Genomic DNA, 15,894 nt, shown 5'->3' on the forward strand with positions numbered 1-15,894 from the left:
TAGTAAGTGCTCAATAAAATTATCTATTACTATTATTATCAGATATATGAATATAATCATAATAGCAAATAAAACTAGATAGGTGGCTTGATGCCTTATTATGGAAAATCCTAAGTGCATCACTTGCATCACTAAGTAATCATCAAATATAAGTATTTAATAAATCCTAATCTAACAATTCATGAAGCACAATTTTTACGTTTTGGTATTAAGTCAAGAGTTGACAAATTTTTTCTGTAAAGGGCCAGATGGTAAATATTGTAAGCTCTGTAAGGCTACATGATCTTTGTTGTAACTACTCTACTCTCTTTGGGTAGCGAGAAGGCAGCCACAGGAAATATATAAGCAAATGGGTGTGTCCGTATTCCAAGAAAATTTTACTTACAAAAACAAGCAGTAGACAAGATTAAGTTTGTTGGTGATAACTTGTAGATCCCTGTCTTAAGTACTTCCTATGGAAATGTTTTCCCTTTTATGGACAGACCTAGAAGAATGTTATATTATACATTTTCATTTCCATATTCATATTATAGATGAACATTCTCACTGTGTAATTAAAAACTAAGGTTTTCAATATAAAGCTAGAAATTTGTCATTTGTACAAAAAATGGCATTATATCTAACACCAGGGCAGTCCTTTGTACACAGCAACTGTTCAATATATGCTCATTAAATAGATAAATAAATAAGACCAATGAAATCTTTACATTTTAAAGTAACTTTGTTGTAGTGATTGTACATGACTACCACTTCTGGGAGAAACAGTACAGAAATCATAAGTAAAAAAGCCCAAGTATCCTGTTTCAGTATTTTCAGTGAGAAAGTACTCACTATGTACCACTTGAGGAAGATAATATTTAACAGTAATTTAAGAGAATTAGTTAATAATCCAAATAATTAACACATTTTACTTTCTCTAGTGAAGGTTTGTTAAAAAGTAACAATTCTCTTAAATATACCGGGTTTGAACTTCCATTACTATCACCAACAATAGTGTTAAATATTCAAGTCTTAATTAGCCAGCAACTTTACCAGATGAAATGTGTGGTAGACAGCCTCTAGGATGGTCCCAATTGAGCCCCACCTCATGGTATTCACACTTTTGTGAAATTTTGTCCCCTAGGGTGTGAGTTGAACTCGTTGAATTGCTTCTAACAAAGAAGAGATGAGGCCGGGCACAGTGGCTCACGCCTGTAATCCTAGCACTTTGGGAGGCCAAGGTGGGCGGATCACAAGGTCAGGAGATCGAGACCATCCTGGCTAACATGGTGAAACCCCGTCTCTACTAAAAATACAAAAAATTAGCCAGGCGTGGTGGTGGGTGCCTGTAGTCCCAGCTACTCCGGAGGCTGAGCCAGGAGAATGGTGTGAACCCGGGAAGCAGAGCTTGGAGTGAGCCGAGATTGCACCACTGCACTCCAGCCTGGGTGACAGAGCGAGAGTCCGTCTCAAATAAAAAGAATAAAAAAGAAAAAAAAAGAAGAGATGAGTTGTACTTCTGGGAATAGGTTATAAAAAAAGACTGTGGCTTCCGTCTTGTGTGTGTCCTCCTTCTCAGATCTCTTGCACTGAGGAAAGCAAGTAACCACATTGTGAACAACCTTATGCAAAGGCCTACGTGGCATGGTAAGGAGCTGAGGCCCTCATTTCAACAGCCCACCAGAAACTGAACCTTGTTAACAGCCACGAGTTAGCTTGGAAGCAAATCCTTCAGCCCCAGTCAAGCCTTGAAAAGACTGCAGTTCTAGCCAACAGCTTGCTTACAGCCTCCCGGGAAATCTTGAGTCAGAGGCATCCCGCTAAGTCCCTCCTAGTTTCCTGACCCTGTGAGATAATTAATGTTTGTTATTTTCGGCCACAAATAGCAATAGATAACTAATATAGTAAATGTTTGGTTAACGTTTATAACATGGCCAACATGTTTGTGCTACAATGGTGCTTAGACTTTCAGCCTTGTTTTGAAGGAGCTGACTACTTAATGGAAAACATAGAAGGGCAAATATAATTACAAAATTGTGTTACTTATGCTACAAATTCAGCAATATGGGAACACAGAAGAATGAGCCACTAACCAAATGAGGGGGCCAGAGCAGAAAGTTAGGTTATAGGCAGAAAGAGAAAGTGAAGAAAAAAAATGTAATAGCCTTGAGGAATGAGTGCCATCAAGAACTCAAAGAGGGAGAAGCATTCCAGGCAAAGAAAACAGAATATGCAACAGGGCAGAAGCATGAACGAGCATTATGCCTTTGGGAAGCTATAAATAGTTCAGCTTGGCTGAAGCACAGGATATGTGTGGAAAAGTGAATGGAGATGATGTTGGCAAGATAAAGTATTCAGATGAAAGATGGAAAGGTGTATAAAAAGAAAACAAAATTGCCTTTGTAAAAGATTAAATTTTTCTATTTAGGAAAAAAAGTCAGCCACATTGCATTTCTAAAATTACTTTCCTTGAGGCTATGATCAAATGCTACTTTCATCTATAAAAAGAACAGACCACAAGGCTATAGTCACTTTAAAATTCTCTGCATGCAAGAGGCCACATCTGTGTGCTAAAGAGTAGAATGATTGACTAGCAGCTTCAAGCCAATAAGAACTTTGGTCTTATCTACACCAGAGAAGTTCTAGCAAAGAGTCAAAAACTCGAAGAGTTAGAGGACATCTAAAAGTCCAAGATCTCAATTCAAACATAAAAAGCAGTGCAATGAACAGATGGTTGGGAGAGTGTGCTCTCTCCCACCTTTCCTTTACTTTTGTTTCCTCCTCTTTCTCAACCCATGGCAGGGAGATGGTCTTTTAGCATAATAATTCACCAGAGGTATGCTGTAATTGGTGAGCAATATTAGTAGGAGAAATGTTTCCTTGTCTTATAAATTCTCTACTCTGAAGAATCTCAAGGATTTATGAGAAATGCAGGAGTCTTGTAGAATTTTACCTTCCTCCTCCCAGGATGATGCCAAGAATGACAATTCCCTGGCCTTGGCTAGCAAGACTGAACTAGAATCCTGGAGAACTGCACAGTTAAGAAAATGAAAGAGAAAGGGAGGCCATAGAAGATGGGTTCCCTCCCAATGCTTACTTTTATGGACTAAATGTTAAGCAATGAAGAAAGTAAAAAAGAAAGAAAATATTTTGCATCACATCAGTAATCCGTGGATTCTCTGTTTTACTAATGCACTTGTGCTTCAATTCTTATTTTGGCTCTTCAGGCTCTCCTGGTTTTGAGTCCCATTTTAGGTTGTATGCTTTCCCTTTTGTCTTAACAACCTATTCTTTTCTCCGGTTGTACTCTTAGTGGTCCCTGTATTCATCTTCTATATCTTTCTATTCATTCCAAAATTATGTAAACACCCAACCTGACCAAGACACACCCTAGCACTAGCCCACCAGGCCAGAACCCCTACTAAGTAGCCACTGACTCTCTATGAAAGGAAGTTAGAAAATGAACCTGCTGAGAGTAAAGGGGGAAAAAGGTGGATAGGAGGCAGGACTAACTTGCAGCTGCCACTCAGATGGACAGAGCAGCATGTGGAGACCCACATCATGAACTTTTGCTCCAAGAACTACCATAGGAACATACCAGGAAAGCAGAGAAAACCACAGACCCTTTGAAGGAGTAGATTGCCACTGCAGGCTCTGTGAGTCAGCTTGCTTTCTCAGCAGGGAGGTTTGTAGCCTGGGGCAAGTTCTTAGTCCTGCTCATAGGCTGCCTGGAAATAAACGGTGCTGTTGGCAGGGCACAGTGGGAATGAGACTGGCCTTTTGGGCTGTGGGCTGTGTGGGAGTTGGGTGAGGTCTGTGGCTGCTGGCTTTCCACCACTTTCCTGGTGACCTGTGCGACTCAGCAGAGGCAGCCATAATCCCCCTGGGATATAACTCCATTGGCCTGGGAACTGCAACCCCACCCCCAACAGTAGCCACAGCAAACCCCACCCAAGGAGAGTCTGAGCTCAGACACACCTAACCCTGTCCCCACTTGATGGTTATTGTCTGCTGGCCCTGGTAGCTGAAGACTAAGGACATAATCTCTTGGGAACTCTATGGCCCCACCCACGGCCTGATCCTTCCTATACTACTGCAGCTGATGTGCTATTGAAAGCACCACCTCCTGGCTTGAGGACAACCAAAACAAAACCAGCGCACTTAACAAAAATACAACCAAGGACCCTCAGAGAGTCCACTTCACTCTCCTGATACCTCCACCAGAGCAGGTGCTGGTATGGTATCCACAGCTGAGAGACCTGAAGATGGGTCAAATCACAGAACTCTTTGCAGACACTCCCAGTACCAGCCTGGAGCCCAGTAGCTCCACTGGGAGGCTAGATTCAGAAGAAAAATAACAGTCACTTCAGCTCTCAGGAAGCCCCATCCCTAGGGGAAAGGGAAGAGCACCATATCAAGAGAGCACCCCATTAGACAAAGAATCTTAACAGAAGCCCTTGAGTCCTAGATCTTCTCTCTGAAATAGTCTACCCAAATAAGAAGGAACCAGAAAAAAACAATTCTGGTAATATGACAAAACAAGGTTCTTTAACACCTCCAAAAGAACATACTGGCTTACCAGCAATGGGTCAAGATCAACAGGAAACCTCTGAATTGCCAGAAAAAGAATTCAGAAGGTCGACTACTGAGCCAATCAAGGAGGCACCAGAGGAAGGTTAAGTGCAACTTAAAGAAATCAAAAAAGATGATACAGGATATGAATGGAAAAATCTCCAGTGAAATAGATAGCATAAAAAAAATCACAACTTCTGGAAATGAAGGACACACTTAGAGAATTACAAAATGCACTGGGAAGTCTCACAATAGAATCAAACAAGTAGAAGAAAAAAACTTCAGAGCTTGAAATCAAGGCTTTCAAATTAACCCAATCTGATAAAGACAAAGAAAATTTTTTTTTTAAAATGAACAAGGCCTCCAAGAAAATTTGGGATTATATTAAATGATCAAACCTAAAACTAATTGATGTTCCCGAGGGAGAATAGAAATCTAAAAGTTTGGAAAACATATTTGAGGGAATAATAGAGAAAAACTTTCCCAGCCTTGCTAGAGATCTAGACATCCAAATACAAAAAGCTCAAAAAACACCTGGGAAATTCATCACAAAAAGATCATCGCCTAGGCACCTGATAGTCATCAGGTTATCTAAAGTCAAGATGAAGAGCTGTGAGGCAAAAGCATCAGATAACCTATAAAGGAAAACTTATCAGATTAACAGCAGATTTCTCAGCAGAAATCCTACAAGCTAGAAGGGATTGGGGTTCTCTTTAGCCTCCTTAAATAAAACAATTATCAGCCAAGAATTTTGTGTCCAGTGAAACTAAGCTGCATAAATGAAAAAAAGATGGTGTTTTTCAGAAAAATAAACGCTGAATTTGCCACTACCAAGCCATCACTAAAAGAATGGCTAAAAGGAGCTCTAAATTTTTTTTTAACCTCTAAATCTTGAAACAAATCCTCGAAATACACCAAAATAGAATCTCCTTAAAGCACAAATCTCACAGGACCTATAAAACAACAACACTATGAAAAAAAAACCAAGGTATTCAGGCAACAAATAGCATGATAAACAGAACAGAACTTCATGTCTTAATATTAACATTGAATGTAAATGGCCTAAATGATCCACTTAAAAGACACAGAATGGTAGAATGGATGAGAATTCACTAGCCAAGTATCTGCTGTCTTCAAGAGAGTCACCCAACACATAAGGACTCACATAAACGTAAGGTAAAGGGGTGAAAAAAGATACTTCATGCAAATAGACACCAAAAGCAAGCAGGAGTAGCTGTTCTTATATTAGACAAAACAAACTTTAAAGCAGCAGCAGTTAAAAAAGACAAAGAAGGACATACATAATGATAAAATGACTAGTCCAATAGGAAAACATCACAAACCTAAATATACATGCACCTAACACTGGAAGTCCCAAATTTATAAAACAATTTCTACTAGACCTAAGAAATGAGATGGACAGCAACACAATAATAGTCGGGGACTTCAATATTCCACAGACAGCAGTCAGGTCTTCAAGACAGAAAGTCAACAAAGAACTATACCCTAGAACAAATGGACTAAACGGATATTTACAGAACAGATATTTACAGAATATTCTACCCAACAACTGCAGAATATACATTCTACTCATCAGCACAGGGGACATTCTCCAAGATAGACCATATGATAGGCCATAAAACAAGTCTCAACAAATTTAAGAAACTCAAAATCATAGCAAGTACTCTCTCAGAGCACAGTGGAATAAAATTGGAACTCAACTCCAAAAGAAACCCTGAAAACCATGCAAATACATAGAAACTGAATAACCTACTCCTGAATGATTACTGCATAAACAATGAAATCAATATGAAAATTAAAAAATTTACACTGAACAATAATAGTGACACAACCTATCAAAACCTCTGGGATACAGCAAAGGTGGTGCTAAGAGAAAAGTTCATAGCATCAAATGTCTACTTCAAAACATCTGAGAGCACAAATAGACAATCTAAAGTCATATCTCAAGAAGATAGAGAGACAAGAACCAAACCCAAATCTAGAAGAAAAAAAGAAATAACCAAGATCGGAGCAGAACTAAATGAAATTGAAAAAAAAAAAATACAAAAGATAAACAGAAAGCTGGTTCTTTGAAAAGATAAATAAAATTGATAGACCATTAGCGAGACTAACTAAGAAAAGAAGAGAGAAGATCCAAATAAGTGCAATTAGAAATGAAACAGGAGATATTACAACCAATCCCACAGAAATACAAAAGACCATTTAAGGTTACTATGAACACTTTTATGTGCATAAACTAGAAAACCTAGAGGAGATGGATAAATTCCTGGAAATATATAACCCTCCTAGATTAAACCAGGAAGAAATAGAAACTCTGAACAGACCAACAACAAGCAGCAAGATTGAAATGGTAATTAAAAAGTTACCGAGAAAAAAAGGCCAGGACCAGATAGATACACAGCTAAATTCTCTCAGACATTCAAAGAAGAATTGGTACCAATCCTGTTGATATCTATTCCAAAAGATATAGAAAAAGAGAATCCCCCCTAAATTATTCTATGAAGCCAGTATCACCATAATACCAAAACCAGGAAAGGACATAACATAAAAAGAAAACTACAGACCAATATCCCTGATTAACATAGATACAAAAATCCTAAACAAAATATTACTTAACTGAATCCTACAGCATATCAAAAAGATAATCCACCATGATCAACTGGGTTTCATACAAGGAATGCAGGGATGGTTTAACATTCACAAATCAATAAATGTGATACACCACATAAACAGAATTAAAAACAAAAATTACATGATCATCTGAATAGATGCAGAAAAAGCATTTGATGAAATCCAGCATCCCTTTATGATTAAAACCCTAAGTAAAATTAGCATAAAGGTCATTCGTTAATGTAATAAAAGCATCTATGACAAACCCACAGCCGACATTATACTGAATGGGGAAAATTTGAAAGCATTCCCCCTGAGAACTGGAACAAGACAAGGATGCCCACTTTCACCACTTCTATTAAACATAGTACTGGAAGTCCTAGCCAGAGAAATCAGATAAAAGAAAGAAATAAAGGCCATCCAAATCAATAAAGAGGAAGTTAAACTGTCACTGTTTGCTGATGACATGATCACATACCTAGGAAACCCTAAAGGCTTATACAAAAAGTTCCTAGAACTGGTAAATGAATTCAGCAAAGTTTCAGGATACAAAATTAACATACACAAATCAGTAGCCTTGCTATACACCAACAGTTTTCAAGCTGAGAATCAAATCAAGAACTCAACCCCTTTTACAATAGCTACAAAAAAAAAAATTAGGAATATACTCAACCAAAGAGGTGAAAGCCTGCTACAAGGAAAACTACAAAACATTGCTGAAAGAAATCATAGATTGACATAAACAAATAGAAACACATCCCAATCTCATGAATGAGCAGAATCAATATTGTGAAAAATGACCATACTGCCAAAAGCAATCTACAAATTAAATGCAATTCCCATCAAATTACCACCATCATTCTTCACAGAACTAGAAAAAACAATCCTAAAATTCATACGGACCCCAAAAAGAGCCCACATAACCAAAACAAGACTAAGCAAAAAGAACAAATCCAGAGGCATTACATTACTGAACTTCAAACTATACTATAAGGCCACAGTTGCCAAAACAGCATGGTACTGGTATAATAACATATGGACCAATGGAACTGAATAGAGAATCCAGAACCCAGAACCCATAAATAAAGCCAAATGTTTACTGTCAACCAGTCTTTGACAAAGCAAACAAAAATATAAAGTGCATAAAGGACACCCTATTTAACAAATGGTGCTGGGATAATTGGCAAGCCACGTAAAAGAATGAAACTGGATCCTCATCTCTCCCCTTAAACAAAAATCAACTCAAGATGGATTAAAGACTTAATTCTAAGACCTGAAACCATAACAATTCTAGGAGATAACATTGGAAAAACCTTTCTAGACATTGGCTTAAGCAAAGACTTCATGACCAAGAACCCAAAAACAAATGCAACAAAAACAGAGATAAATAGATGGGACTTAATTAAACTAAAAAGCTTCTGCACAGCAAAAGAAATAATCAGCAGAGTAAACAGACAACCCACAGAGTGGGAGAAAATCTTCACAATCTACACATCCAACAAAAGCTACAAGGAACTCAAACATATCAGCAAGAAAAAAACAGTCTCATCAAAAATTGAGTTAAGGACATGAATAGACAGTTACCAAAAGAAGATATACAAATGGCCAACAAACATATAAAAAAATGCTCAACATCACTAATGATCAGGGAAATGCAAATCAAAACCAAAATGAGATACCACCTTACTCCTGCAAGAATGGCCATAATAACAAAAAAAAAAAATGGATGTTAACATGGATGTGGTGAAAAGGGAACACTTTTACATTGTTGATGGGAATGTAAACTAATAAAACCACCACTGAAAACAGTGTGGAGATTCCTCAAAGAAGTAAAAGTAGATCTACCATTTGATCCAACAATCCCACTCCTGGGTACCTACCCAGAGGAAAATAAGTCATTATACAAAAAAAGATACTTGCACACACATGTTTATAGCAGCACAATTCACAATTGCAAAAATATAGAACCAGCCCAAATGCCCATCAATCAACGAGTGGATAAAGAAAATGTGGTGGATATATACATGTATATATATATATATATACACATACACACACCATGGAATACTACTTAGCCATAAAAAGGAACAAAATAATGGCATTTGCAGCAACCTGGATAGAACTGGTGACCATTATTCTAAGGGAAGTAACTCAGGAATGGAAAACCAAACATATGTTCTCACTCATAAGTGGGAGCTATGCTATGAGGATGCAAAGGCATAAGAATGATACAATGGACTTTGGAGACTCAGGGGAAAGAGTGGAAGGGCAGTGAGGGATAAAAGTCTACACATTGGGTACAGTGTACACTGTTCAGGTGATGAGTACACCAAAATCTCAGAAATCACCACTAAAGAACTTATTCATGTAACCAAATACGAACTGTTTCCTAAAAACCTATTAAAATTAAAAAAAAAGAAGAAGAAAATGAACTTGCTAAATCCCTGAATAAAATATCACAGTAGTTGGAGGTGAAATGACATTCATTCTTCCACATGACAGTGTAAATTCCAGTAGTATTCCTTCACACTCATTTAAAAATGAGTCTAATCTCATCAGATGATGCTATAGTCCATACTTCCTCATAGCTATAATTTATGAACTTCTTTTTACTCTCTTTTATTTATCAGAGAATTAGCATGTATCTCCCAATCTTGCTTTCCACCTCAAGCCTATCATCATTTTGGGAACTGTCAGTTTCCTCGTACATTTTCAATCAATCTCTTGAGCCTGAGTGTTTTGATTTCTACTTACGTAATCTTTGCTTTAATTCTATTCAGATTACCATGTCTAAGGCTAACCCATGTATTTCATTATGAACAGCAACTACTTCATATAGATATTTAATCTCTAGTAACTCATTCTGTGGATACAATGTCCAATCACTTCCTCTCTCTTCCACACTACATCTATTGTTTAATCCCATCTCTATCCTTTTATCCATCTAGTTTCATCCAACCTATCAGTCCCTTTCCATCTTCACATTTACTTATTTAGTTTAGACACAATGGCCCATCACTTAACAACTCTCTTGCCAGTAACTACATTCACTCTTGTTATTTTACCACATACACTGAGCAAAACCCTATTCCTATTTGCAGTTGACACTTTAATGTACCACCCAGATTCAACTTCAGATATAAAACATTTATTCTCCTAGCTGTATGATGTGTTGCTGGCAGACAGTCTTCAGCTGTCAGCTTTCTTTTGGAATTGCCTCAACTGAAGAGAATGGACTGACCCAAGGCCATGCCCCCTTCCAGGTGCAAGCTGCTTTCAATGTCAGGTCAACACAAGTGTATAATAGTCCTGTCCTATCGCCAACTTGGAATGACTTTGAAGAGTCATCCCAGTTTCAGAATTCCCTAGGGAGCCTTTGGATGGCTATATTGAGACTTCATCACAGCCTGATCTCTCCAGCTGCCATTTCTGGCTTCCCTTTAACAGGTGTTGCCTCCGAAATCACTCAATAAATCTCCTGTATGCTAACCTACATCTCAAAGTCAGCTTTCTGGTGAATCCATCTTGGATTGAACTCAGTTGTTCTCAGTGGCCCCTTCTGCATCTTTTTAACCAATTAGGTACTAATGACTGAGACAGAAAAATCATACAACTGCTAGAAATTAATGTTATCAAATGATTTGATATTCTCTGATATGGTTTGTATACTTGTCTCCTCCAAATCTCATGTTGAAATGTGTTCCCCACTGTTGGAGATGGGCATACTGGGAGGTGTTTGCATTATGGGAATGGATCCCTCATGAATGGCCTGGTGCCCTCCCTGTGGAGGTCATGAGTTACCATGAGATCTGGCTGTTAAAAAGAGTCTAGGATCTACCTCTTCTCTCTTGCTCACTCTCTCATCATGTGATATGCCTTCTCCCCCTTTACCTTCCACCATGAGTAAAGGTTCCTGAGGCCTCATTGTAAGCTGAGCAGATGTTCATGCCATGCTTGAACATCCTGCAGAACTGCAAGCCAAACAAACCTCCTTTCTTTATAAATTACTCAGTCTCAGGTATTCCTTTACAGCAATACAAAATGGAATAACACATGCTTTCACAAATAATTCACACGGTGAAAAAAATACCCTAATAGAAAACTGGACTAAAAACTACCAACAGGCACTTCACAAAAGAAAAGTACAAATAAATGTATAAGCCTTTTGCCTCAGCTTCTGCTCAAGCCTTTGTATAGGAATGCATGGATGGAATACAGTCTTCTGGTTTTGTTTTGATTAATATGTGAAGACAAGATATTCACAAGCTTAAACATTCAAATGCGGCAGCCAAGATGGCCGAATAGGAACAGATCCGGTCTACAGCTCCCAGCATGAGTGACGCAGAAGACGGGTGATTTCTGCATTTCCATCTGAGGTACCGGGTTCATCTCACTAGGGAGTGCCAGACAGTGGGTGCAGGACAGTGGGTGCAGCACACCGTGCGCGAGCCGAAGCAGGGCGAGGCATTGCCTCACTTGGGAAGTGCAAGGGGGCAGGGAGTTCCCTTTCCTAGTCAAAGAAAGGGGTGACAGATGGCACCTGGAAAATCAGGTCACTCCCACCCTAATACTGCGCTTTTCCGACAGGCTTAAAAAACGGTGCACCAGGAGATTATATCCTGTGCATGGCTCGGAGGGTCCTACGCCCACGGAGTCTCACTGATTGCTAGCACAGCAGTCTGAGATCAAACTGCAAGGTGGCAGCGAGGCTTGGGGAGGGGCGCCCGCCATTGCCCAGGCTTGCTTAGGTAAACAAAGCAGCTGGGAAGCTCGAACTGGGTGGAGCCCACCACAGCTCAAGGAGGCCTGCCTGCCTCTGTAGGCTCCACCTCTGGGGGCAGGGCACAGACGACAAAAAGACAGCAGTAACCTCTGCAGACTTAAATGTCCCTGTCTGACAGCTTTGAAGAGAGCAGTGGTTCTCCCAGCACGCAGCTGCAGATCTGAGAAGGGACAGACTGCCTCCCCAAGTGGGTCCCTGACCCCTGACCCCCAAGCAGCCTAATTGGGAGGCACCCCCCAGTAGGGGCAGACTGATACCTCACATGGCCGGGTACTCCTCTGAGACAAAACTTCCAGAGGAACGATCAGACAGCAGCATTCGCGGTTGATGAAAATCCACTGTTCTGCAGTCACTGCTGCTGATACCCAGGCAAACAGGGTCTGGAGTGGACCTCTAGCAAACTCCAACAGACCTGCAGCTGAGGGTCCTGTCTGTTAGAGGGAAAACTAACAAACAGAAAGGACATCCACACCAAAAACCCATCTGTACATCACCATCATCAAAAACCAAAAGTAGATAAAACTACAAAGATGGGGAAAAAACAGAGCAGAAAAACTGGAAACCCTAAAAAGCAGAGCACCTCTCCTCCTCCAAAGGAATGCAGTTCCTCACCAGCAACAGAACAAAGCTGGACGGAGAATGACTTTGACGAGTTGAGAGAAGAAGGCTTCAGACGATCAAACTACTCCAAGCTACAGGAGGAAATTCAAAGCAAAGGCAAAGAAGTTAAAAACTTTGAAAAAAATTTAGATGAATGTATAACTAGAATAACCAATACAGAGAAGTGCTTAAAGGAGTTGATGGAGCTGAAAGCCAAGGCTCGAGAACTACGTGAAGAATGCAGAAGCCTCAGGAGCCGATGCGATCAACTGGAACAAAGGGTATCAGTGATGGAAGATGAAATGAATGAAATGAAGCCAGAAGGGAAGTTTAGAGAAAAAAGAATAAAAATAAATGAACAAAGCCTCCAAGAAATATGGGACTATGTGAAAAGACCAAATCTACGTCTGATTGGTGTACCTGAAAGTGACGGGGAGAATGGAACCAAGTTGGAAAACACTATGCAGGATATTATGTAGGAGAACTTCCCCAATCTAGCAAGGCAGGCCAACATTCAGATTCAGGAAATACAGAGAACACCACAAAGATACTCCTCGAGAAGAGCAACTCCAAGACACATAATTGTCAGATTCACCAAAGTTGAAATGAAGGAAAAAGTGTTAAGGGCAGCCAGAGAGAAAGGTCGGGTTACCCACAAAGGGAAGCCCATCAGACTAACAGCTGAACTCTCTGCAGAAACTCTACAAGCCAGAAGAGAGTGGGGGCCAATATTCAACATTCTTAAAGAAAAGAATTTTCAACCCAGAATTTCATATCCAGCCAAACTAAGCTTCATAAGTGAAGGAGAAATAACATACCTTACAGACAAGCAAATGCTGAGAGATTTTGTCACCACCAGGCCTGCCCTAAAAGAGCTCCTGAAGGAAGCACTAAACATGGAAAGGAACAACCAGTACCAGCCACTGCAAAATCACGCCAAATTGTAAAGACCATCGAGGCTAGGAAGAAACTGCATCAACTAACGAGCAAAATAACCAGCTAACATCATAATGACAGGATCAAATTCAAACATAACAGTATTAACTTTAAATGTAAATGGACTAAATGCTCCAATTAAAAGACACAGACTGGCAAATTGGATAAAGAGTCAAGACCCATCAGTGTGCTGTATTCAGGAAACCCATCTCACGTGCAGAGACACACATAGGCTCAAAATAAAAGGATGGAGGAAGATCTACCAAGCAAATGGAAAACAAAAAAAGGAAGGGGTTGCAATCCTAGTCTCTGATAAAACAGACTTTAAACCAACAAAGATCAAAAGAGACAAAGCAGGCCATTATATAATGGTAAAGGGATCAATTCAACAAGAAGAGCTAACTATCCTAAATATATATGCACCCAATACAGGAGCACCCAGATTCATAAAGCAAGTCCTAAGTGACCTACAAAGAGACTTAGACTCCCACACAATAATAATGGGAGACTATAACACCCCACTGTCAACATTAGACAGATCAACGAGACAGAAAGTTAACAAGAATACCCAGGAATTGAACCCAGCTCTGCACCAAGCAGACCTAATAGACATCTACAGAACTCTCCACCCCAAATCAATATACATTTTTTTCAGCATCAGACCACACCTATTCCAAAATTGACCACATAGTTGGAAGTAAAGCTCTCCTCAGCAAATGTAAAAAAACAGAAATTATAACAAACTGTCTCTCAGACCACAGTGCAATCAAACTAGAACTCAGGATTAAGAAACTCACTCAAAACCACTCAACTACATGGAAACTGAACAAACTGCTCCTGAATGACTACTGGGTACATAACGAAATGAAGACAGAAATAAAGAAGGTCTTTGAAACCAACGAAAACAAAGACACAACATACCAGAATCTCTGGGACACATTCAAAGCAGTGTGTAGAGGGAAATTTATAGCACTAAATGCTCACGAGAGAAAGCAGGAAAGATCCAAAATTGACACCCTAACATCACAATTAAAAGAACTAGAAAAGCAAGAGCAAACACATTCAAAAGCTAGCAGAAGGCAAGAAATAACTAAAATCAGAGCAGAACTGAAGGAAATAGAGACACAAAAAACCCTTCAAAAAATTAATAAATCCAGGAGCTGGTTTTTTGAAAGGATCAACAAAATTGATAGACCGCTAGCAAGACTAATAAAGAAGAAAAGAGAGAAGAATCAAATAGATGCAATAAAAAATGATAAAGGGGATATCACCACCGATCCCACAGAAATACAAACTAACATCAGAGAATACTACAAACACCTCTATGCAAATAAACTAGAAAATCTAGAAGAAATGGATAAATTCCTTGACACATACACCCTCCCAAGACTAAACCAGGAAGAAGTTGAATCTATGAATAGACCAATAACAGGAGCTGAAATTGTGGCAATAATCAATAGCTTACCAACCAAAAAGAGTCCAGGACCAGATGGATTCACAGTCGAATTCTACCAGAGGTACAAGGAGGAACTGGTACCATTCCTTCTGAAACTATTCCAATCAATAGAAAAAGAGGGAATCCTTCCTAACTCATTTTATGAGGCCAGAATCATCCTGATACCAAAGCCTGGCAGAGACACAACCAAAAAAGAGAATTTTAGACCAATATCCTTGATGAACACTGATGCAAAAATCCTCAATTAAATATTGGCAAACCTAATCCAGCAGCACATCAAAAATCTTATCCACCATGATCAAGTGGGCTTCATCCCTGGGATGCAAGGCTGGTTCAATATACACAAATCAATAAATGTAATCCAGCATATAAACAGAACCAAAGACAAAAACCAGGTGATTATCTCAATAGATGCAGAAAAGGCCTTTGACAAAATTCAACAATGCTTCATTCTAAAAACTCTCAATAAATTAGGTATTGATGGGTTGTATCGCAAAATAATAAGAGCTAACTATGACAAACCCACAGCCAATACCATACTGAATGGGCAAAAACTGGAAGCATTCCCTTGAAAACTGGCACAAGACAGGGATGCCCTTTCTCACCACTCCTATTCAACATAGTGTTGGAAGTTCTGGCCAGGGCAATTAGGCAGGAGAAGGAAATAAAGGGTATTCGATTAGGAAAAGAGGAAGTCAAATTGTCCCTGTTCGCAGATGACATGATTGTATATCTAGAAAACCCCACTGTCTCAGCCCAAAATCTCCTTAAGCTGATAAGCAACTTCAGCAAAGTCTCAGGAAACAAAATCAATGTACAAAAATCACAAGCATTCTTATACACCAATAACAGACAAACAGAGAGCCAAATCATGAGTGAACTCCCATTCACAATTGCTTCAAAGAGAATAAAATACCTAGGAATCCAACTTATAAGG

General features: G+C 39.2%; 1 protein-coding gene across 22 annotated transcripts in view, besides 2 other annotated features; it reads right to left on the reverse strand.

Moving 5' to 3' along the window:
- The window catches only part of ANKS1B (ankyrin repeat and sterile alpha motif domain containing 1B), a 1,250,151-nt gene that overhangs the window by 717,054 nt on the left and 517,203 nt on the right, over positions 1-15,894 (reverse strand). The gene's annotated exons all lie outside the window — the stretch shown is intronic.
- Positions 3,332-3,833: an enhancer, noted in NCBI's record as "NANOG-H3K27ac hESC enhancer chr12:99848949-99849450 (GRCh37/hg19 assembly coordinates)". NCBI's record gives its function as "activates a minimal SCP1, AML or CMV promoter by ChIP-STARR-seq in primed H9 embryonic stem cells {active_cell/tissue: H9 hESC(primed)}" and the evidence as "EXISTENCE:reporter gene assay evidence [ECO:0000049][PMID:30033119]".
- Positions 3,834-4,333: an enhancer, noted in NCBI's record as "NANOG-H3K27ac hESC enhancer chr12:99849451-99849950 (GRCh37/hg19 assembly coordinates)". NCBI's record gives its function as "activates a minimal SCP1, AML or CMV promoter by ChIP-STARR-seq in primed H9 embryonic stem cells {active_cell/tissue: H9 hESC(primed)}" and the evidence as "EXISTENCE:reporter gene assay evidence [ECO:0000049][PMID:30033119]".

This window comes from Homo sapiens, chromosome 12, assembly GCF_000001405.40.
Source record: "Homo sapiens chromosome 12, GRCh38.p14 Primary Assembly".
NCBI lineage: Eukaryota > Metazoa > Chordata > Mammalia > Primates > Hominidae > Homo > Homo sapiens.